Here is a 23,665-nt window from a genome sequence, read left to right as displayed (position 1 = left end):
CGACTTGGGGAGTCTTAGCCTCCAAGGACGTTCCCGAACCCTGCGGACGCGGGGCGCCAGCAGGTGGCGCTGGACGCGCAACTGACAAGGAGGCGGGGCCTGCAGCAGGCTTGGAGGCTTCGCGCTCTGGAGGCTCAGGCGCCGCGTGGGGCCGGCACCTCCCGGCAGCAGCGGCAGCTGAGACTCACGGTCAAGCTACGGCGAGGAGTGGGTGAGTCCCTTGAATCGTTCTCACTGGCCGTTTGCTCCTCGAGTCCGCCTGCGTGTCCCTGCAAGGCTGGGCGCCCGCTCCCAGTCTTGGGAGGGGTGTAGCGGGTCGCAAGCCTTCTCGTGACCTGGACGGCGGCCCTCCTGGGCGAGCGGTGCTCAATTCTTCGCTTATGCGCGGCTCTGGGGCGCCCTGTCTTCCAGCCCAGCTGGGTTGTGGCCGGGCCGGGGGCTGGGGGGAGCCAGGGACTCAGAGGAAGCCTTTTCGCTAGGGGCTTAAGGTTGTGGTAGATTATTAAGTTTGTGCTCAGGTTGGATTTTGATGGCAAGTTTTTTAACGTGGCAAAGTCGCCAGAGTTTGCTGTGCATTGACGAATGACTGGTGCACAGTACTTAAAATCGTGCTACTTCTCGTCTTCGGGTTTCCTGGTAACAGAGGTTTTCATTTTCAGTCCTTAGAACACTGGCCCTACTCTTTCAGGATCTGGGTGGGGTTCAGGTTCCCTCCAAAATAGTCAATCAAGGCTTTAAATATGTAATTCTGGTCAAATCCACTGGAAGGAGTTTGTAGACATAAATTTTTTGTACACTTCCAAATTTCTTACTTTGTTACTTTTGTAAAATACATTTCCCTCCACATCCTGACGTGTAATAAAAGGTTATTCATTTAACATGAATGTTAAGCACAGAGGGAAAGCAATGCTTAAAAAGAAAAACAGCACAGTGAAAAAAAAACCCAAAAAACTCGACTTCACTTAGTTAAATGTAAAACAAGTGTGCACTTGAAAGTATAAAAGGTTGGAAATGCAGTGCAACCCACAATGTATTCCAGGCATTGGGTTTCTTCATATTCTCAACTGCGGGACATAAACATGAGTCAGTTGGGCTGTGCCAACATTTAGGAACACCAGGGCAGCCATCTTGGTACAGCAAAACAGCAGTCGCATTAGAAATGTGCTCCACTTTTTTAAAAGCGGGTGAAAGAGAACTTTGGGTCGAATTCTGGGGTTCCTAACATTTTAACACTAGGTTGTTTTCTGTTATTTTTCTTTTTATGAAAAGATTTTACTGTAGAACTTAAATTACATTTTGGTTAATGTCTGATGAAAACCAACAAATTTATTTGACTCATAGTTTATTTTCCTGGCTTATGGGCATAGAGTTGAGTGTGGGCCACACAGTCAACAAGCTTCCTCACTGTCATGGGCTTTTCCTTGGCTTCGCTCTTGAGTGTGGTCTCCTTACCATGCAGACAAATGGCTGGGTAACTCTCCAGGGCCACTCTGGTTTTCCACCCAGACTCTTTGTAGTGGCAATCAGTCAGCAAACACTGCCAACCTGCTAGCTACCCCAGGACTGGGTCTAGAAGACAGCGCTGAGCCTTTTCCTCTACTTCCCTTCCCATGCCACCATCTGCCTATAAAACTTTATCCTCTTCTAGGATACATCGCTCTACCATGCAGTTGAAATGCCTGCCTTCTCTCCTAGACCTCAAGGTTTTTCAGAGCAGAGGCTTTATCTCATTTAACTTTGCATTCCTCCTGCCTTACATTGTTGTTCACAATATAGTTACTGAATTCATACTGAATAAATGTGGGTGGATTTGTTAGCATCCTTACCATCCTGCACCTCTCAAAGTTAAAAGATCTTCTAAACATAGTGGATTATTTCTTACATTTGATTATAGTAGGTGACACTTCCATTCCTAGCACCTCCCTCCCCCACCCCACAAACTATTAAGTTGGTGATATGGTTTGGAGCTGTGTCTCCCCCTCAGATCTCATGTTGAAATGTAACCCCCAGTGCGGGAGCTGGGGTCTGGTGGGAGGTGATCGGACCATGGGAGCAGTTTCTCATGGTTTAACACCATCCCCCCTTGGTGCTGTTGTCACGTTAGTGCAGGGGTCCCCAACCCCCTGGCCGCAGACTGGTATCAGTCAGTGTCCTGTTAGGAACTGGGCTGCACAGCAGGAGGGGAGTGGCAGGCCAGCGAGCATTACTGCCTGAGCTCCACCTCCTGTCAGATGAACGGTGGCATTAGATTCTCCTAAGTACATGAACCCTATTGCAAACTGCACATGCAAGGGACCTAGGTTGTGTGCTCCTTATGAGAATCTAACTATTGCCTGATGATCTGAGGTGGAACAGTTTCACCTCAAAACCCTATCCCCCTTCCCCTACTTGGAAAAATTGTCTTCCACGAAACCAGTCCCTGGTGCCAAAAAGGTTGGGGACCACTGCAATAATGTAAGACGCCTGCTCCCACTTCACCTTCCACCATGACTATAAGCCCTCTGAGGCCTCCCCAGAAGCAGATGTTGCCATGCTTCCTTTACAGCCTATGGAACCATGAGCCAATTAAATCTCCTTTCTTTATAATAATTACCCAGTCTCAGGTATTTCTTTATAGCAGTGCGAGAACAGCCTAATACAGTTGGTTAAGTCACCAAATGACTTGGAATAATGCTGTTAAGGAGATAGAGTGTCATTTCCTCCAGAGCAGGCATGAGTGTCATTTCTATTTTTCCTCTTTAATGTTGGTCACAGAGTTGGGTTCATAAATACTTGATGATTGGCATATGCTTTACTCAGAATTCTTTTACATGCCAGTGGTGAACACCCAAATCACACTAACTTAAACCAAAAAAAAAGGGAATGTGTTGACTGTCTAACTGAAAAATTCAGGATCTAGTTTCAGGGACTCTAAATACTGAAATATGCCACCAGGACTCTTCTGTGTCTTTCTCTGCTCTTGTTCTGCTTCCATGTTGGCTTTCTTCTTTTCTAATGAAAACATCTTCCTTCTTAGAGCATGGAGAAAAAAGCATGGCAGGCTTATACTGTGCTATCTTAACAAAATGTTAAAGACATCTCATCTCTCTCTTCCACTTCCATATATAAATATCAGAGAATGACCATGCTTGAAGTAGGTTCTGTGCCATCGCTAAGCCAATCAATGGGAGAACAGGAAACTGATTGCCCAGGCCTGAGTCATATACCCACTTCTGTGACGAGGGAATGAGTGTTACTATTTTGCACAATCTCCCAAAATCACATTGGAGGGAGGAAGGGCATTTCTCCAAATGGAGGAAATGTTTTAAATCAGAAAAGAATGTGGGCAAACTAAAACAACAGATATCTTCATCATGAATGTTCTGTAATTTTGAAATAGATAATATCTGGAAAATATTCTAAGAGTACCTCAACAAAGTAAATGTTGGCGTATATAAAAGCATCTCGTTATCCTTTGTTATAGTTAAACCTTTAAAACTTGGAGAATGTTTTAAGAACAGTCATGTCTCTTCATGACAGGATACATTCTGAGAAATTCATTGTAAGGCGGGATTTCATTGTTGAGGAAACATCATAGAGTGTACTTACATAAACTTAGATGGTACAGCCTCCTACATACTTAGGCTAGATGGTATAGTCTCTTGCTCCTAGGCTGCTAATCTGTATAGCATGTTACCGTGCTGAATACTGTGGGCAGTTGAAACACAATAGTAAGTATTTGTGTATCTGAACATAGAAAAGGTATAGTAAACATACATATATCGTATAAAAGATAAAAAATTGTATATTTGTACAGGACGCTTGCTATGAATGGAACTTGCAGAACTGGAAGTTGTTCTGGGTGAGTCAGTGAGTGAGTAGTGAGTGAATATAAAGGCCTGGGACATTACTGTACACTACTATAGACTTTATAAACGCTGTACACTAAGGCTACCCTACATTTATTGAAAATTTTTTTTCTTTAATAATACATTAACTTTAGCTTACTGTAACTCTTTTACTTTATTAACTTATTGTTTTTACTCTTTTGTAATAACACTTAGCTTAAAACATCGTCACATTGTACAGCCATACAAAATATTTTCTTTGTTTATATACTTACTCCTTAAGCTTTTTTTCTATTTCTAATTTTTTTTCTTTTTAGACTTTTTTGTTGAAACTAAGACACAAACACACACACATTAGCCTAGGCCTACCCAGGGTCAGGATCATCAGTATCACTGTCTTCCACCTCTATATCTTGTCCCACTGGAAGGTCTTCAAGGGCAGTAACAGGCATGGAGCTGCCATCTTCTCTGATAACAATGCCTTCTTCTGGAAGACCTCCTGAAGGACCTGCCTAGGGCTGTTTACAGTTAGCTCTTTTTTTGTAAGTAGAAGGAGTACACTTCACAATAATAATAAAAAGTATAGTATTGTAAATATTAGGCAATAGGAATTTTTTTGCTCCATTATACTCTTATGGGACCACTGTTACATATGCAGTCAGTCGTTGACCAAAATGTTATGTGACACATCACTGTATTTTAAACTATTCCTGGAAACAGCTTTCCACCTAAAAAAGTACTACACGTGGTCTAAAATTCAGAAACACTTGGGATGTTTTCTGTCAATCAAATTGTTGTATATCTAATCTGTTTTTCTCATTGAATTTCATAAAGTGTAAATTAAAGATGTGTTCCTCTGGAAATAAATTCAGAACTAATAAAAACAATGAATAGTACTGTGACATATGTTTTCTTTCCCTAAAAAATGTTACACCAATCCTGGATGAGGATCTGTGAGTTTGCTAAGGAAAAGCTTCTTTTATCAAGTGATAAATTTGAAAAGTTGTTTTTCCACAGGGTTGACCAGAAGACTGGGCACATCATTAATTCAGCACAACTCACCATTCCCACTGGAAACATACTGGCAATTCACATCTTCCAAACAAGGACCAACCTCTTACTCCAAAAGAAAAATGGTACTCTGAAAATACTGTTTCAGACTCCAGTGTCAACCCCAAAATTCTGTTAAACATAAATCTTATATCAGCTACCTCCAGCCTCCATTGATGACATTATTACTCTCAATATAATGCATTCCTAATGATATTTGCCATTGAAAGGAGTTGGCTTTCCTCCAGATGGAAACCTGAAGTTAAATCTTCCTAAAGTAAAAGGCAACATGTGACCCTTTGTAATCCATACAGGCACCTGGGTTATTCATTGAACAAATAAGTGGATAAAGAAGAGCAGTTACTGTTGATAAGAGGGCATTGGTTTGAAACTTACAGATTATAATATGAAGTTAAATGTATAAATCAGTCACTATTTCAATTTTTATTGTACTTTATCTGCCATTCTAGTCTTTAAGCAAGTAAATTTTTTATATTGTTACATCAGACATTCACATCATAAGTAGAATAGACATGAAAGTAATTATTTTTATTTTTACAGGTGGCTGAAGCCATACTATTTTATAGAATTAATGGAAAGCAGAAAAGACATCACAAACCAAGAAGAAATTTGGAAAATGAAGCCTAGGAGAAATTTAGAAGACAACGATTATTTGGTAAAATATTAATAATGACAATAATAAATAATAATTTACATCTTTAAACATAATTCGATGACATTCTGTATCTCCTAGTGTTATGAAAGTGATTTTTCACCCTAGTCTGCTGATATCTGGACTTGGATTACTGTCACTGATACTGTGAAGGACAGAGTAGCATATGTGAGAGAAATAGTACCTTCACTGATTGTCAGGGACTTAGCTGAATAACCTTGAATACGTTACTGAAAATCTGGGGTCTTAGTTTGTTTATACCATGAAAGCCTTGGACCAGATCATCCCCAAGGCCCTTCCAATTCTTTCTAACACTCTATAGTTCTAAGTTAAAAAAAAAAAAAAGTCATCAATGCCCATATAACAGTAATTTTGTAAGCAAGCATTTTTGTCATAGACACAGTGGCAGCTTACCAAGAGATCATCTAGTAAATTGACGATTCACTGTATAACCAAATAAATCTACTTTTAGATAAGAATCACTTTTTCCACTTTTGGTCAAACACAGGATTAAGTGTTTCTTACTACATTTTTTGACTGAAAAAGTGGCAGAAATTTTGGTTCCAAACTTCCAAATTATCTCAATGGAAGTTTTAGCAGAAATTATTTATTTAATCTTAATAATTTTAATAGGGAAAAGTAATTAATAAATTACAAGCATATACTTTATAAGAGTAACAATGTGCATAAAATGAAATAATTTCATTTTTCAAGTTAACTGTCTTACCTGTCTGAAGCATGTATTTCTTTTGTCCTAAAGACAAAAGTCTTTCAGTGCCACATAGACTATGCTATCTTCAACTAACCAGTATTCAAAAGCAAGATTCTGAATGCCCTTATTCAATGAGAAGCACAATGATTGAGCAATAAGTAATTAGTTCAAGAGATATCCCATTGTTTTGTTCAATTTTAAGATGTTAATTTTCTTTCCTTTGTAGCATGAGGACACGGGAGAGACCAGCATGCTAAAAAGACCTGTGCTTTTGCATTTGCAGCAAACAGCCCATGCTGATGAATTTGACTGCCCTTCAGAACTTCAGCACGCACAGGAACTCTTTCCACAGTGGCACTTGCCAATTAAAATAGCTGCTGTTATGGCATCTCTGACTTTTCTTTACACTCTTCTGAGGGAAGTAATTCACCCTTTAGCAACTTCCCATCAACAATATTTTTATAAAATTCCAATCCTGGTCATCAACAAAGTCTTGCCAATGGTTTCCATCACTCTCTTGGCATTGGTTTACCTACCAGGTGTGATAGCAGCAATTGTCCAAGTTCATAATGGAACCAAGTATAAGAAGTTTCCACATTGGTTGGATAAGTGGATGTTAACAAGAAAGCAGTTTGGGCTTCTCAGTTTGTTTTTTGCTGTACTGCATGCAATTTATACTCTGTCTTACGCAATGAGGCGATCCTACAGATACAAGTTGCTAAACTGGGCATATCAACAGGTGAGATGACAATGATGTCACTGTTACTAATAAAAAGTCTAAGTCACCTAACAAATTAATCATTTCTCATTGTAATATCAATACCCCAACCCTGTTGAAACTCTGTGTTGAAAAAGTCATCTATTTTAAAATTTTTCTTATAATTACACTAGGGCTTGGTTGTCAGTCGGTTTTATATTGAGAAATGTTTTTTAAGCTGAAAATAAGGTACAACTTTAGCAACATAAGAAACATTTTGTTCATGGACAAGGCCATATTTCAAACTTCTACCACCCTCACAAGATTACTTTTTAATATTGTTGTTCTTCTCCTTGTTTACCACATATGCATGCACATTACAGTTCTATCCAAGTAAACCATCAAATAATTATTAGAAAATTAATAGATTATGGAAATGTTGCATTCAAGAAAAAAAGTGATAGCTCCTATGTCATTTGTCTTAGAGGAATGCAAAAAAAAAAGAAAAAGTCATAAATTTGTGGAGACCTGTTATCAGGGCTTCATAGTACACACAGGGAAGAGTGTAGAAGGAGATTCACATTCAGGAAATAACTGTTGTTTGCATTTCTTCTTTCTTTATTTACCTTCTGGTAGGTCCAACAAAATAAAGAAGATGCCTGGATTGAGCATGATGTTTGGAGAATGGAGATTTATGTGTCTCTGGGAATTGTGGGACTGGCAATACTGGCTCTGTTGGCTGTGACATCTATTCCATCTGTGAGTGACTCTTTGACATGGAGAGAATTTCACTATATTCAGGTAAATAATATATAAAATAACCCTAAGAGGTAAATCTTCTTTTTGTGTTTATGATATAGAATATGTTGGCTTTACCCCATAAAAAATAACAAATGTTTTTCAACAGCAAAGATCTTGTACTTGTTCCAGTTAATAATGTGCTCTCCTGTTGTTTTCCCTATTGCTTCTAATTAGGACAAGTGTTTCCTAGACATAAATAAAAAGCATTAAAATATCCTTTTTTTTTTTTTTTTTTTTTTTTTTTTGGAGATGAAGTCTCGCTCTGTTGCCCATGCTGGAGTATGGTGGCACGATCTCGGCTCACTGCAACCTGCGCCTCCTGGGTTCAGGCGATTCTCCTGCCTCAGCCTCCTGAGTAGCTGGGATTACAGGCACCCATCACCATGTCCAGCTAATTTTTGTATTTTTAGTAGAGACAGGGTTTCACCATGTTAGCCAGGATGGTCTCGATCTCCTGACTTGTGATCTGCCCGCCTCGGCCTCCCAAAGTGCTGGGATTACAGACGTGAGCCACCGCGCCCGGCCTACCTATGGCTTTTGAGGGCAAATGGTGTCATCTCCACCTGAATCACTGAATCAGAAAAGAGGGGATGCTGAACAGAAATACTACATATATCCTCTATTCTACTTCACACTTCAGCTGCTTTCTTGGTCTTCTAAACATCCTCATATTACTGTCTCTATCTTCCTTTTCAAACAGAACATAGCTGACAAATTAACTTCAGTAAAACTCAACTTGGATCATATGTTTTCTTTTCTCAAAATCTTCCCTAAATGGGTCCTCACACTTAAAAGGTAAGTCCTTAGTCCTTACCTGGCATTCACACTTTTCTATAATCTCAACCCAGATTCTTCTGGTCTAATCAACAATTTTATACCTCCCCAAAAAAGTCAATTTACTCACTTTCTTCCTAAAATGACTTTGACTCCATGGCCTTGTTCACATTGTTCACATTCTTTATTCACCAAGAATACCTTTTTTCTCTCTTCTTTCCTCTTCAAAGTCTACCCATTCTTCAAATGCAAGACAGAGTTTACTTCCATATAGATTTCTATAGTCATCCCAGCCTGAAGGAACTCCTTTCTCTCCCTTTCGCTCTCATGATATTTTTGTTGTATCATTCTTAAATAATGATGAACTGCTTTATTCTATTATGAATTCATATTTCAATAAGTAACACATATTATCTAGCCATCCATACTGCAAACTTCTTAAAGGCAAGGACAATGGCTTATATTTCTTTTCATCCTGTGAGAGACATAGCTTGCATTTAATAAACATTTATTATATATCTGGATAATTATAGATATGAATATAGATATTAGTGTCACTATACTATGGCACTCAGTTTTAAAAAGAAACCTTCAACACACTAGCTTCAACCAAAGTCCACACCAGACAAGAGCTGTTCAGTAATTAGAAAGATACTCCAATTCTAAAACGATGTGCACTTACTACTACATATCTGCAGAAAATGAGTTGCTACTTTTCAAAATGAACGGAATTGCTGAAGCAATAATCTAGATTATTTTAACCAACAGTTATATACTCCTACTTCAAGATAGCTATCTACAATGGTTAGATATATCACGTACTGCTATTTTGCTCTTAAAGGAGTTTGTTTGAACTGAAGCATAGTCAGCACAAATTACTTCTAGGAAACCATTTCTGAGAGAATTTGGCTCTTTACATCTTTGGCCAGAATTCCTTGACTTTTGGCTTCCAGTCTGTATTTTGCTTTCCTGGTAGAAATGTGTACTCCTAGTATCTTGCTGGCAAGGATGCCTCTGCCAAAAGGAAATACACACTACTTTCTTCATGAAAGAACGGGAACACTCTCAGGTAGACTATTGGCATGTAGTCTAAGTGAAATGAGCCCACCCATCATTACAACCTTACCAAATATGTAAGACGCTTCCAAGTATTGTGGATAAACACTCCTAGGTGTTGTGCATATACAAAATCATCCAGAAGTTACCCTAGAAAGGACGGTAATACAAAATAGTATGCATGTTCCAAGAGAATAATAATGTGTCATAAATAATTACAGAAGGTAGAGTTTTTTTGAGTTTGGAAAGCTCAGGAAAGGTTTCAAAAGGAAACGGATCTAACCAATGGATCATTTAGTAAACATGGACCATTTAGTAGAGTCCCACAAGAGACAGGACTAAAAATGACATATTCTAGGCCAATAGGATAGAAAAAGAGGGCTTACATAGAGGCATAATAAGTAAAATAAGGTAGGCAATTTGGAAATACACTAGAGAAAAGCTTTAAAATTCTGTATTTTATACTATAGACAATGGAGATTTTTGAGTTTTCAAGCACCAGGAAAATAGTGTTTTAATACCAAATTGAGATATAATTGTCAGTTTTTTAAAAAAAAGTTTTCTAAAAATAAAATAAAATCACTAAAATAATTTTGAAGAAAAAGATAAATCGAAAAAGATCTTTTGGATTGTTTTCAAAAAGATAGAAAACATTCTTTTGGAATAGAAATTACGCATAGCTTGGAATGGAATTAATAAAGCTCAAAGTCAGATCATGAATAGGAAGTATAGAATTCAAGCACTTCAGAGGCTGGACCATGAAAGGTAACATTATAACTAAAATAATTCAGCACTTTTATTCACATTTAGTGCTTTTTTCCTGATTATAAAATAACCCAGATATACGGATAGGAGGAATCAATATCATGAAAATGGCCATACTGCCCAAGGTAATTTATAGATTCAATGACATTCCCATCAAGCTACCAATGACTTTCTTCACAGAATTGGAAAAAACTGCTCTAAACTTCATATGGAACCAAAAAAGAGCCCGCATTGCCTTTTGAGGGCTGTGAGGGAGAGCCTGTTCCAGGTCTGTCTCCTGGCTTCTAGTGATTGCTGACAATCTTCAGCATTCCTAGATGCAATGCAGCCCCAGTCTCTGCCTTCACGGTCACATGCTGTTCACCTGTGTGCCTGTCCGTCTCTGTGTCCAAAATTCTCCTTTTTATAAGGAAACCAGTCCTGTGGGCTTGGGGCACACCCTGATGACTTCAGGTGAACTTGATCATCTGCAAAGACCCTATCTCCCAGTAAGGTCACAGTCACAGGTACTTGGGCTTATGACTTCAACATCTTTTTGGAGGACAGAATTCAACCCATAATGGTGCCCAATTATCAGACATATCAACTATGTTTCTTGAGGGTCTTATACCTTTTTCTATTGCTAAGGGGAGTCCATTTAATATAGTACTGTTTAAGTATGGTGCTTTGACCGTATTATGTTCTCTGAAAACTCATGGTCCATGAATGTTGTAACTACTAGTTACATTATTAGCTAGGACAGTGTCTTCCTTACTTGTACCAGGTAAATGAGGACTCCCAAAACAATCAATAGGAGGACAGACCCTAGGTCTTATGTTCTTTTGTGAAGTCACGTGCAGGCGATGCTGCCTCTATGGCGAGAACTCGGGTTTCTGGTTTCTCCCTGCCTGGTTTGAATCTATTCTGAACAGCAGGTGTCGCTGTTGCCTGCTCTGTGACTCTTCATTCCCAGTAAAAAGCCTTGGGTAGAAGAGAACTTATCCAAGGGTACTGCATCCGGTCTTTGCAACTCCTAGTCATTTTTATGGCTTCTTCAACAATTTGATCTACGTGGGGACTTGTCCGTGGCAAGATGTAAGACCTTCCTGGCTTATTTCTAAGAGCCTTCTCAGCCTCCACCTTCATGTGCACTGGCTCAAAGGCTAGAAAACTGAGGGCTGCATGACTGGGGTGTAAGGGACAAGGTCTGTGCGGTTCAGGTCTGCAATTGCATATGTCCCCTGACTGCTTCTGCCTGCTGGGTGCCAGTCAGCAGTGGTTTCCTCTCAAGGGGCTGTTGGAATTATCATCTGTAGTGATGTGGCTCCTGTGAAAACATGGCAGAACCTACCAAGAACTTTTGTTTCCATCTTCCCTTTTGTTAGGGCTGAGGTGTTTGTTTTAAATTCCCCACTGGGTCTGCATTTCAGAGTTGACTTTTTCACTTTGAAAGAAGGCCACAGTGCAACACAGCATGGGTGAGGATGAGGGTGGGGTCCACTTATTCAAGCCCTTCTGATTCCCACTGTCCCTGGGCACTCAGCCTCGAGGGTGACTAGGTAGGGCAAGGGCACTCGCCTTCTTCTGGCTCATAGACTGACAGATGGGAGGGAGGTATGTTGTTAAAGGTTGTGGCTCAGATGATAAAGCCCTTCCTCTTCTCCTTCCCCAAACACAGAATGCAGGGCTCCCGCAGGAAATCTGGGAAGGTATCCTCTGCCACACTGTGGGAAGGATAGGTGGGGCAGGGAAGAAGAGGAAACAGCATGTGCCCAGGCTAACAGGTCCTGGAGGCCATGTGGATGGGGCAGTTGCTCCTTGGGAGGGGGTGGAGTCAAGGGCCAGGAGAGAAGGGACTCGGAGGACTGGGACAATAGCCTGGCCACCTGTTTCAGATGTGGTTGGAGGTATGTGCAGCCACAGCAGTTTCTGGGGTGGCGTGTGGGGAGTAGTCACTTTTCAGATTCTCAACCTCACAAATGGGTTAGAATGCCAGTCACCCTTTATTATGGGGTGGATGGGGTTTTCTGGGGGCAGTCCTGATTTCAATTATTCAGAGATACAGATGCTAATATAATTTGCTCAGTTTTATATTTTACTTGTATTCTTTTCTCTTTTGGAAAGGCAATATAGTAAATCTATGTGTGGATTTTTTTTTTTCTTTTTTCTTTTTTTTTTTTTTTTTTGGGTGGAGTTTTGCTCTTGTTGCCTAGGCTGGAGTGCAATGGTGCGATCTTGGTTCATCGTAACCTCCGCCTCCCAGGTTCAAGTGATTTCCCCTGCCTCAGCCTCCAGAGTGCCTGGGATTACAGGCATGCATCACCATGCCTGGCTAATTTTATAATTTTAGTAGAGACAGGGTTTCTCCACGTTGGTCAGGCTGGTCTTGAACTCCCGACCTCAGGTGATGCACCCCCCCGCCCCCGCCATCCTCGGCGTCCTAAAATGCTGGGATTACAGGCATGAGCCAACGCGCCCGGCATGTGTTTTAATTTCTAGGCCTTTGCAAGACATTTTTTTTTCAAACAAATACTCATGTAACTGAAACCTTTTATCTAACTATCAAGTCTTGGTTTTTGTCATTAGGGTTAGACCTGTGATCATGGTGACATTTTAGAAAACTCTCCAGTGAATCAGATGTAAATTTCTGAGAGCAGAGATCATGTCCTCATCTTTATGTTTTTATTGTTTAGAAACAGGGTCTTGGTCTGTCACCCAGGCTGGAGTACAGTGGTGCGATCACAGCTCACTGCAGCCCCAAACTCCTGGGCTCAAGCGATCCTTCTGCCTTGGTCTCCTAAAGTGCTGGGATTTCAGGCATGAGCCACTGCACCTGGCTGTGTCCTCATTTTTATACCCACATGGCTGAGGAAGAAATAATGGTGACTCTGTAAATAAATGGTAGTTTCTTGTTACCAAGAAGGCTTTTCACCCTTTGTTTCCTTCCTTCCTCTATCTATGTGAAAAGACAAAGCAATACTTGTTAGGATGTCTCTTAACATTTATAGTGACAGCCTTCATCATACCCTGGCCTTTAGGGTGGGGAGTACAGCTTTACGGACACCTTCCTGGGGAAAGCACTGAGTGAGCTGAGAAGGCTGAGCCAGGAGTCCGAGAGTGTGGGATGTCATCATCCCCAGGGCAGCCTGAGTGAAGGCCCTGAAACAGGATCCACCAGGAAGGGCTAGTGGCCAGTGTGGCTAGAAAGGAAGGGAGGGAGCCCCTGAAGGACTTGCCTGAGAGGGAGTGAGGGCAGTTGACATGTGGTTTAGCAGGATGACCCCTTGGCAGGGTGAAAGGTGGGCAGGAAGGGATGTGGAGATTGCCTGAGGTAGAGGGACAGGCACAGGAGAAGATGAGAACTGGTCAGGACCAGAGGGGCTTTTCTGAAAACAAGTATCACTTCAGGAGGGAAGAATCAAGCTGTAGACTGCAGAAAAGTGAGTGGGTGAGGCCTGGAGAAGGGAGCATTTAGGAATCCCTCTGAGAGGGTTGGCATAGGAGGAAGTTTAAGGCGACAAAGCCAGGCTGGTTCAGAGGAGGTGCAAAGGAGGATGAAGTAGAAGCAAAGGCCTCAGGGCCTTGTTTGCAATAACTCTCTTAAACTGTATTCTGCCTCTGGCTTTGGTCCTTTCATGAAAGGCCAGGCAGGTTTATTTGGCCTTCCAGACACAGAACTATACTCCACAGTGCCAATGGGATGTCTGGTCCTTTCTAGTCAGTTTCCTTCAGCGGCTGTTAGAAATTAGTGTTCTGTGAACGCAAGCGACTTTCTCTCTAAACCACCTCTAAGGCAGTGCCTCTAAGCCATGACTGTACAATGAAATCACCTGGGGAGCTTCAAAAAGCAACGATGTGTGCCCTTGCCCCTGGGATTCTGCTGTAATTGGTCTGAGGTGCAGAATGGGCACTGGGATTTTTATAAGCTCTCCAGGTAATCTTAATGTGCAACCGAGTTTGAGAACCACTGAGTGTGGCAGGCTTACGTATGCCAGGCAGTATACTAATAGCTGTGTACGTGTATTATCTCATTCAGGCCTCTTAACCGGTGGTTCTTAAAGTGGAGTCCCCAAACCAGCAGCATCAGCATCCTCTGGAAACCTGTTAGAAATACAGTTCTTGGGTTCCTCTTGAATCAAACTCTGGGTTGGGCTCAGCAATCTATTTTAACAAGGGGAAGCCAGAGGCAGACTCATCTCCAGTTCAGAATCACTGACTTGAAGGAATTTCTCATGGTGGAATTTCACGCAAACTATGTAGAGAAATATACAGGCATACCTTGGACATATTGCTAGTTTGTTTCCAGGCTATTGGAATAAAGTGAGTTGCATGATTTTTTTGTTTCCCAGTGCATATAAAAGTTATATTTAGCTATTTGGGAGGCCAAGGTGAGAGAATCATTTGAAGTCAGGAGTTTGAGGCTGCAGTGAGCTATGATCATGCCACTGCACTCTAGCCTTAGCAACAGAGTGAGAACCTATCTCTAAAAAAATAAAAAAGTTGTTCATACTACACTATAGTCTATTAAGTGTACAATAACATCATGTCTAAAAAATGTACATATCTTAATTTAAAATACTTTATTGCTAAAAAAATGCTGATAATCATCTGAGCTTTCAGTGAGTCATCTTTTTGCTGGTGGAGGTCTTGCTTCAATGTTGATGGCTGCTGACTGATTAGGGTGGAGGTTGCTAAAGGCTAGGTGGCTGTGGCAATTTCTTAAAATAAGACAGTAATGAAGTTTGCCACATCAATGGGCTCTTCCTTTCAGGAAAGATTTCTCTGTGGCATGTGATGCTGTTTGATGGCATTTTACCCACAGTAGAATTTCTTTAAGAATTGGAATCAATCCTCTCAGATCCTGCTACTGCTTCATCAGCTAAGTTTATGTGATATTCTAAATCTTTTGTCATTGTAACAATCTTCACAGCGTCTTCTCCAGGAATAGATTTCATCTCAAGAAACCACTTTCTTTGATCATCTATGAAAAGCAACTCCTCACTTGTTCAAGTTTTATCATGAAATTGCAGCAACTCAGTCACAGCTTCAGGCTGTACTCAGAATTCCAGTTCTCTTGCTGCTATTTCTATACATCTGCATTGACTTTTTCCACTGAAGTCTTGAACCCCTCAAAGTCATCCATGAGGACTGGAATCAACTTCTTCTAAACTCCTATGAATGTTGATAATGTTGATTTCTTTCCACAAATCACAAATATTTTTAATGGCATCTAAAATGGTAAATCTTTCCAGAAGATTCTCAATTGACTTTGCCCAGATCCATTAAGAGGAATCATTACCTATGGCATCTCTGGCCTTATAAAATATACTTCAAAAAATAAGACTTGAAAGTTGAAATGACTCCTTGATTTATGGGCTGCAGAATGAATATGGTATTAGCAGGTGTGAAAAACAAAACAAAACAAAACATTCGTCTCCTTGCATCTCCATCTGAGCTCTTGGGTGACCAGGTGCATTGTCAATGAGGGTAATATTTTGAAAGACATCTTTATTATGAGCAGTAGGTCTCAACAGTGGGCTTAAAATGTGCAGTAAATCATGCTGTAAACAGATGTGTTGTCATCCAGGTTTTGTGCCATGTCTAGAGCACAGGCTGAGTAGATTTAGCATAATTCTGAAGGACCCCAGGATTTTCAGAATGATAAATGTGCATTCGCTTCCACTTACAGTCACCAGCTGCATTAACCCCTAACAAGAATCAGCCTGTCCTTTGTAGCTTTGGAGGCAGGCATGAACTTCTCCTAGATGGCATCTTCCAAGAGGGCTATTTTTGTCTACATTGAAATTCTGCTTAGTGTAGCCACCTGCTTCAATGATCCTAGCTAGATATTCTGAGTAACTCACTACAGCTTCTCCATCAGTACTTGCTGCTTCACCTTGCACTTCTACGTTATGGAGATGGCATTTTTTGTTAAACCTCATGAACCAACCTGGTAGCTGCCAGCTTTTCTGCAGCTTCCTCACCTCTCTCAGCTTTCACAGACCTGAAGAACTTTAGGGCCTTGCTCTGGATTAGGCTTTGGCTTAAGAGAATGTAGTGGCTAGTTTGATCTTCTAACAAACTTTGAGTGATCTTTGTTACTATTGTAACTGGGGACACCATGAATCACACCTGTATGAGACAGTGAACTTAATAAATGTTTGTTCTGACTGCTCCACCGACCAGCCATTTCGTGTCTCTCTGCCTCTCCCTATTCCAAGATCCAACACTGAAATTAGGCCAGTTAGTAACCCTAAATAGCCTCTCAGCCTTTAAGTGAAAGGCAGAGTTGTGGTATCCCAAAACAATTACGGTAGTAACATCAAAGATCACTGATGACAGATCACCATCACAGATACAATAATGATAATGAAAAATTTTGAAATATTGAATCACCAAAATGCGACAAGACATGAAGTGAGCACATGTTGTTGAGAAAATGACACTAATAGACTTGCTTGACAGAGGCTTGCCACAAACATCCAATTTGTTAAAAAAACAAAACCAAAAACAAAATGCAATACTTGTAGCAGAAAACGAGGAATGCCTGTGTTGGGGACAGAAAGGCCAGCTCAGTGCCCCTTGAGTCATGCCCATAGGCAACTTCCACGTTTCCTGTTTTTGTAATCTGAGTAAAAATGAACGTATGCCTGTACCCCTCATCCATATGTGGAATAACGATCTGTTAAACATAGCAAAACAAAACACTGGCGATTTTTTTTTTCTTTTCTAAGGTGACTTTTTCTCCCAGATGACAGAATGAGTAGGGTTAATTTTGTCCTGTATCCTCAGTGTGAGGTATAGAGTCGGTTGACATTTTTTCCTAGACAGTTTGTTCTGCTTGGAAGAAGGTGACGTGGGCCAAAACTTCTCTCCCTACCCCTTTTCCATCCTGGTGAAACAAAGACTGTCCTAGAAGCATGGAAAGAAAATGCCCCATCCAGCTCTCAGAAATACCCAGAGCAAACCAAAGTTGGTGGGATGATGTGCTGGCGGCACAGATCTGGCAGTCAATGGACAAGGTGCACCTCATTTTATTTTTGGAAGCCCTACTTACAAATCTATTCCCAGGGACCTGAGACAAGATCCAGGGATGTCTCCCCAGTTCAAAGCCACTCATAAACTGCTGTTGACTTATGAAAGGCCTGAGGATTGCTAGTAGGAGTGTGTGTAGGGTGGGGAGAGGTTGTGGATGACAGCATCCACAACTGTCAGAGCTGACCCCAGAGAGGCCCCACTCTGATTGAATATTGGCTGTCTGCAGCTTCCAGCTGCTCTCATTCTCTGGAGAATTGCCCTTGGCCAAATGGGATCCACTCACTTCCTTTGCCCATGAACAGCATCTGCCTCCCCCTATGTGCCTGGGGGGCAGATTGGCCAGTGACTGAATGGCACAGGAATACAGAACGCCAGGCTGCTGGCCCCATTGTGGGTCTACTATGGTGCACTGTACAATGCTGGGATCCTGGGCTCTGGCTGGGAGATCTCCTTAGCTCTCCTCTCTGCCTATCCTTCTTCCCAGGGCTACCAGACTTAGCAAACCAACATAACTAAATCCAGTTAAACTTCAGATAGCCAACAAAATTTTTTGTATAAATATGACCCATAAACAACTTAGGCCATACTTGTGCTAAGAATTATTCGTTGGTTATCTAAAACTTAAATTTAATAGGGCATCCTCTATTTTATCTGGCAAATCTATGTGTGCCCCTTCTCCTGAGAGCATACCCCCAGTAAATCATTGGAACACGAAGCCCAGTCTCAAGCTCTGCTTCTGGGAACCCTTTCAGAAAGTGGGAGGTGGTGGGCAGGAAAGGAAGACAGTTCGAGCCACTCAGTCCCCTTTGTTCAAAGCTACTTGGTGAGATGCCTGTACTCAGCTACCCTTGCAAGCAGGACTCTGGGAATCTGAGGACCAGACCCAGACATGGCTCTGCCTGGCCCCTGTGGGGAGCAGTCAGTTTCCAGAGAGAACACAGTGGCCACCCAGTCTCCCCAGAGCAGGATTCCGGCTTTCGTGGGTTTTACTTAATTAGGCATGAATCTTCATGGAAACACGTGCCAACAGACTTTGTTTTACTTACAGGATGCTTCCTCCCCACCCTCAAGGATTACAGGAAACCGCTGCTAATGTTACCTCATTGACTTTAGTCCTAAGAGCAATGATTTAGTTTCATTTCCTTGTCTTTCAACACAATCCTCTGGCTTTACGTGACTGTGTTCATCTGGGGAGCACCTGCAATGGCATAGCCCTCTAAGTGCACTGAAATGTAGACCTGTGATATGTCTGGCTTTATAAAGTAGACCGTTACGTGAGTCTTGTGTGTTTTACAAAATAATTCATCACAGGGCACTATTTTCTGCCATCAGATGGTGCTTTTCAAACTCTAATGTGCAAACCAACGCAGGGATCTTGTTAAAATACAGGTTCTGACTCTGTTGGACTACGGTGGGGCCTGATACTCTGCATTTCTGACAGCTCTCAGGTGATGCCAGGCATCAATACCATTCTCTTCTTGTAGAGGTAAAACCAGCCTCCAGGCTTCCCTTACAGAAGAGAAACTGGCTCTGGGGTCTGCTTTCTCTTCTGTAAGAAGAGGGCCAGCAAAAGGCCAGGGTCCTCAGGCACCCAGGGGTTAGCTAAAGGCACACAGGTAGTAATGGCAGAGCTCAGATTTGAATACAGGTAGTCTGGCTCCAGAGGTCTGTGCTCTTCACCATTAAATGTAAATGGGGAAGCTAAGGCTGGGTGGGCTGGACAGGTGTATATGTGAATTGACAGGACCTTGGGCCAAGGGACCCACAGAAACCCATAGCGGCGGTCACATCACCTGGATTCAAGGTCAGCCACTACTTGCACCAGCTTGAGGTATCACCTAAGTGGTTTACATTACTGTGAAACGAGGACATCCAGTGACCTCCCCTCACAGAGCCTTTGGATGTATCTGTGGCATTCTGCACATTGAGTGCTTAACACTGAGCCTGTTAGTGAACACCTAAGTGGTAACCATTATGAACATAACCTCAGAGACAATTGCCCTTGTACAAGCAAGGCATGCACTGTGAAAGACTCATTGTGGTCCCATGGACAGAGAGCTGGACCTGCGCCAGGCTTCTGTTTCTTGAGTATGGGGCTTAAGTGCTTCTGTTCTGGCCCTGCTGCTTCTAGAAGTCTGTGTAGGCATGCTGTAGCTGGCACCTAGTAAAGATCATGGTTTCTGACGGGAGATAGCATCATACCCTGAAGCCCAAACATAGCAGCAACAAACCCGCTGCACCTAAAGGCACATCAGCACTGGGAAAACGGAGGGAAACACCATAGCATGATTGGGATAATTGTTTGGTATAGACAGTGTGCCTGGAAAATTCAGCCTGGAGCCATTTTTCTCAATAGAGTGGATAGCTTAATGCTTTCATTACCTGCATCCTTATGGCAACTTTCCCTGTCTCTGAGCTTTTGCAGACTGAGTCTCCCTGGGGTGAGCTGTAAATTGCCATAAATTTAATCCATCTTGGCAGCCGGGCATTGTCAGTACCCACCTTGAGCGTGTGTCCTCACATTCTTGTCGCCTTTGTGGAATAACCACATCTTGATACAAGGCGCTGCCGCTCACAGACTGTGACTACAGTCTCAGAATAGTGTTGGTCCTCAGGAAGCAAATCACTTAAAGCTTTCAAAAGAAAGAAAAATGCTGTGTATGTGGGAAGACCTCACTTTTTACCTTTAGCCGAGAATGATATGTACAATTATGACCCTGTTTACGATTCTGTAGGATTTGGAACAGGATAAGGTTTGTTCTTGTTTTGTAAGTATAAAATAAGTTGTTGCTTACAACAACCAAAAAAGTAGTCATTTAAAATGCTTTTCTAGATGTCCATTCAATAACCTTCCTTTCTAGAACAACACTGTATGACAGAACTTGCTGCAGTGATGGAGATGTCCTCTGTCTGCTCTGCCCAGCAGGGTTGACACTAGCCCAGGGTGGCTCCTGAGCACTGGAAAAGTGGCTTGTGTGGGTGAGGAGAGAATCTTTAAATTTTAATTCTAATCATTTTATAATATAAAGAGCTGAGGCCAGGAGTTCAAGACTAGCCTGCCCAACATGACAAAATCCCATCTCTACTAAAAATACTGAAATCGGCTGGGCGTCGCCGGTGTGTGCCTGTAACCCCAGCTACTCAGGAGTCTGAGGCAGGAGAATCACTTAAATCCGGGAGGTGGAGGCTGCACTGGGCCAAGATCACACCACTGTACTTCAGCCTGGGTAACAGAGTGGGAGTCTATCTCAGAAAAAAAAAAAAAAAAAAAAAGCCACACATGACTAGTGGCTACTGTCTTGCACAACGCCACTCTAGGGGGAGAGAGGTTGATGCCTCAGAGCCTCAGGAGGCTTACAGTTAGTATGTGGGCAACTAGGGGAGTCTGAAGTCAGCAAGTTACACATAAAAGATTGGCCAGCCAGCAAGTTGTTTCGCCTACTTGCCTGCTCCATGGGAGGTTACTCTACAAGGATAATAATGTAATGAATAAAGTCTGTCTTCTTTTCTACTTACCTAGCAGAAAGAATTAGTTATTAGAGTTCACAGGCTATTAACGAGCTGCAAATTGTAAAATACTATGCAGCATAATGTGATTCTGTTAAGGGCAGGCAGCGAGGATTCTCGAGTGGGCAAATGCACTGCCTCCTTGCAGCGCCGGCATCACGTTTTGCCCCCTACCCCTATCTCCTTTTGTTTCTTCCATCTACCTCTCCCCCATTCCCCACCCTGGTTTATGATTCAGTCCCACCCAGCAAGCCCCAGGACTTAGTTATTTCTGGGTGGAAATGATAGTAATAATGTAGGATGGATGACTTCATTTCTCCTTGGGTGTGAAGAAATGTCTTTATTTTCTTGAAATCAAATTGCCAAGTGGAGCGGGAGTTTAATCTCGGGTGCTTTGGCAGGCAGCCTCCTAGGTACCCCACTCGGCCCTTCTCCTCCCAGGCCTGCCTCTCTGAGGGTGCAGCTGGGAGCTGGGCAAGGACCCCGGGCTGCAGGAGCACCTCCACTTGCACCGTGCACCTCTTCCTTCCACGGTTCCCCTCAGTGAGCTGTTTCCTGAAACCAGACAAAGTGAGGTGGTCTGTCCCTGAGGTAAGGGAACACAGTGGCCTGACCTCCCTCCTGCAAAGAGAAGCATTTGAGAAAACAAGACCCAAAGTAGTCGCATTTTAAGTGCTCAATGGATATATGTGGCAACTGCTACTGGACTAGACAGTGTGGAGAACGTCTCCATTACTGCAGTGATGACTCTGTCCAAGCCCCCCCCAAGTAAGATTTTTATATGTATAAATTCATTTAGTTCTTATAACACCAGTGAGTTAAGTATTCTCATTTTAGTGAAGAATACAGACCCAGAGAGGCTTAACATTAACCAAATGCCCAATGGCCAAGTTGAGGTTTTCTCTGATTTTTGATCACATATTACCTCAGATCTTGAGAGAACTTGAGAGACTACTTATTCCTGTGACAGCGTGTGGCTATCATAGGACTGTGTTAAAGAAAGGTGCAGAAAATCCTGTGAGAACATTACGATTAGAGCAGACAGACACTATTTAATAACTGGAAGAACCGCTTATCTTGGAGCGGTAGGCTGAGGGTGAGAGCTGGAATCTTTGTTTTCTTAGCAACAAGTCTCAGCGCCAGAGAGATTTGGGCATCTCTGCAGTCTGTCCTCATTGCCTTAAGTAACCGAAGATAAACCCCAGACTTCTTAAACAATAGTGGGATTGTTTGCCTCTGCTTTTGAGAAGAGCGGCAGTTATCTAGCAAATGGAAGACTAATTGTGACCAGGCTCAGGTCTCACCAGTTTGGTGCCTCAGCAGGGACCTGTCTGGGCCTGAGTCTTAGCAACTTCCCCTGAGCGCCCACCCCACTCTCAGGCCGCCCAGCAGCCCCCAGCTCCAGAGCTTTGCTGATTGACAGTGGAGAGGGCCCTGGGTTCAGCTGAGCAGCACAGCACCTTGGCACGGAGTAGGAAGAGTACTGTGTGTTTTTCCCTATGTTTTTTGAGTTACAAGGGAGTCTGGAAAGACAGCTTGCTTCTCCCAAGGTCAGTAGCTCGCTCATGGGACCCACAGGTCTACATAGGAAATGTGCTAAGATAAAGCAGAAAAGAACAAAGGAAGATTAAAAGGAGATAAAGCCTTTTTAAGTTAACTTTTCCCTATTTGCATGTGACACATTGGATTACACAAGAAGCATTAAAAAAAAAAACCTCTTGTTGATGTCCTGCAAACTATGTAGACAAAATTTTGCACACATATGAGGTTGTCAAAGGGCAAATGCAAGTGAGGATCCATTAAAAAGCCAAAAATCCATTATTTTAATGAATGAAATTCGTAATATTTGCGTAATACGCTTCCATTTGCAGAGTACTTTCATGCGTTATTTTAGTATCAGTCCTAATAGCTAGGTAAGACTATCACTGCTATACAGGCTAAGCAGATTTATGATTTGTGTGACCTTGGACAAGACACTTAACCTTTCTCAGAATCTGTTTCCTCAGTGGTTAGATAATATGTATTTGTCAGGCTGGATGTCACCAAGAGATTGAACTACATCATTCAAGACCATCTGGAGGGGGAAAGAGTTGGGTGGGGGCATTAATAGGAAGCCATCAGGGATCAATAATAAAAGTTTAGATCAAGTTCAGGCCTGGCAAGAGGGATCAAAGAGGAAATCTTACAGTCAATGTCAAAACAAGTGGCTGAGTGTGGCAGACACACCATAATGTGACCCAATGGGTCACCCCCTTGTGAATCTCCTTCCCTTGAGTTCAGGTGGAACCCATGACTTGCGTCTCACCAGTGGAAGATGGCAAAGGCTATGCGTGCCCTCATTAGGTTCCCTTGTATGGGGAAGGTGCGTGACGTCACTTCCTTGATTAGGTTACTCAGCAGAAAGCTGCAGTCTCTCCCTATGTGGCTTTGAAGAAAGTGCCATGTTGGGGAGAGGGCCACATAGCAAGGAACTGTGAGTGACCTCTAGGGGCTGAGAGTGGACAACAGCCAGCAAAAGGTCAGCACCCTCAGGCACTGAGCCACAAGGAGATGAATTCTCCCAACACGAGTGATCTCAGAAACGGATTCCTCCTTAGTCAGGTTTTCAGATGAGAACCCAGTACAGCCATGATGTTTGTCGTAGCCTCTGAGAACCTGAGAAGAGGGCCCAATTAAGCCATGCTCAGAATCTTGACCCAGATAATAAATGGGTTCATGGTAGATGTGCCTGATAACAATAACTCCAGCACACCCTAAGAATGACCCTGTATGGCAGATGCACCTGA

The 23,665-nt window shown here is 42.3% G+C and overlaps 1 protein-coding gene across 11 annotated transcripts in view, besides 2 other annotated features; it reads left to right on the top strand.

Annotated features, from left to right (window-relative positions):
- The first annotated feature begins 136 nt into the window (after positions 1 to 136).
- STEAP1B (STEAP family member 1B) overlaps positions 137 to 23,665 on the top strand; it is an 80,745-nt gene continuing 57,216 nt past the window's right edge. For 4 of the 11 annotated variants that reach the window (NM_001382447.1, XM_047420107.1, NM_001164460.2 and 1 more), the window contains exons 1-4: positions 137 to 211; positions 5,439 to 5,553; positions 6,489 to 7,001; positions 7,596 to 7,760. In NM_001382447.1, the coding sequence (NP_001369376.1) occupies positions 5,470 to 5,553; positions 6,489 to 7,001; positions 7,596 to 7,760 (762 nt within the window). In that variant the 5' untranslated portion in view covers positions 137 to 211; positions 5,439 to 5,469. Of the gene's footprint in view, positions 212 to 4,671; positions 4,964 to 5,438; positions 5,554 to 6,488; positions 7,002 to 7,595; positions 7,761 to 8,460; positions 10,446 to 15,264; positions 16,513 to 18,420; positions 18,651 to 23,665 lie in introns of those variants that run through there. The other 7 variants (NM_207342.3, XM_047420109.1, XM_047420108.1 and 4 more) reach the window with 6 other exon arrangements.
- Positions 21,777 to 22,277: an enhancer, noted in NCBI's record as "H3K4me1 hESC enhancer chr7:22517667-22518167 (GRCh37/hg19 assembly coordinates)". NCBI's record gives its function as "activates a minimal SCP1, AML or CMV promoter by ChIP-STARR-seq in primed H9 embryonic stem cells {active_cell/tissue: H9 hESC(primed)}" and the evidence as "EXISTENCE:reporter gene assay evidence [ECO:0000049][PMID:30033119]".
- Positions 22,278 to 22,778: an enhancer, noted in NCBI's record as "H3K4me1 hESC enhancer chr7:22517166-22517666 (GRCh37/hg19 assembly coordinates)". NCBI's record gives its function as "activates a minimal SCP1, AML or CMV promoter by ChIP-STARR-seq in primed H9 embryonic stem cells {active_cell/tissue: H9 hESC(primed)}" and the evidence as "EXISTENCE:reporter gene assay evidence [ECO:0000049][PMID:30033119]".

This window comes from Homo sapiens, chromosome 7, assembly GCF_000001405.40.
Source record: "Homo sapiens chromosome 7, GRCh38.p14 Primary Assembly".
Lineage (NCBI taxonomy): Eukaryota > Metazoa > Chordata > Mammalia > Primates > Hominidae > Homo > Homo sapiens.
The sequence above is the reverse complement of the archived record's forward strand: the minus strand, read 5'-3'. Positions and strand labels throughout refer to the sequence as shown.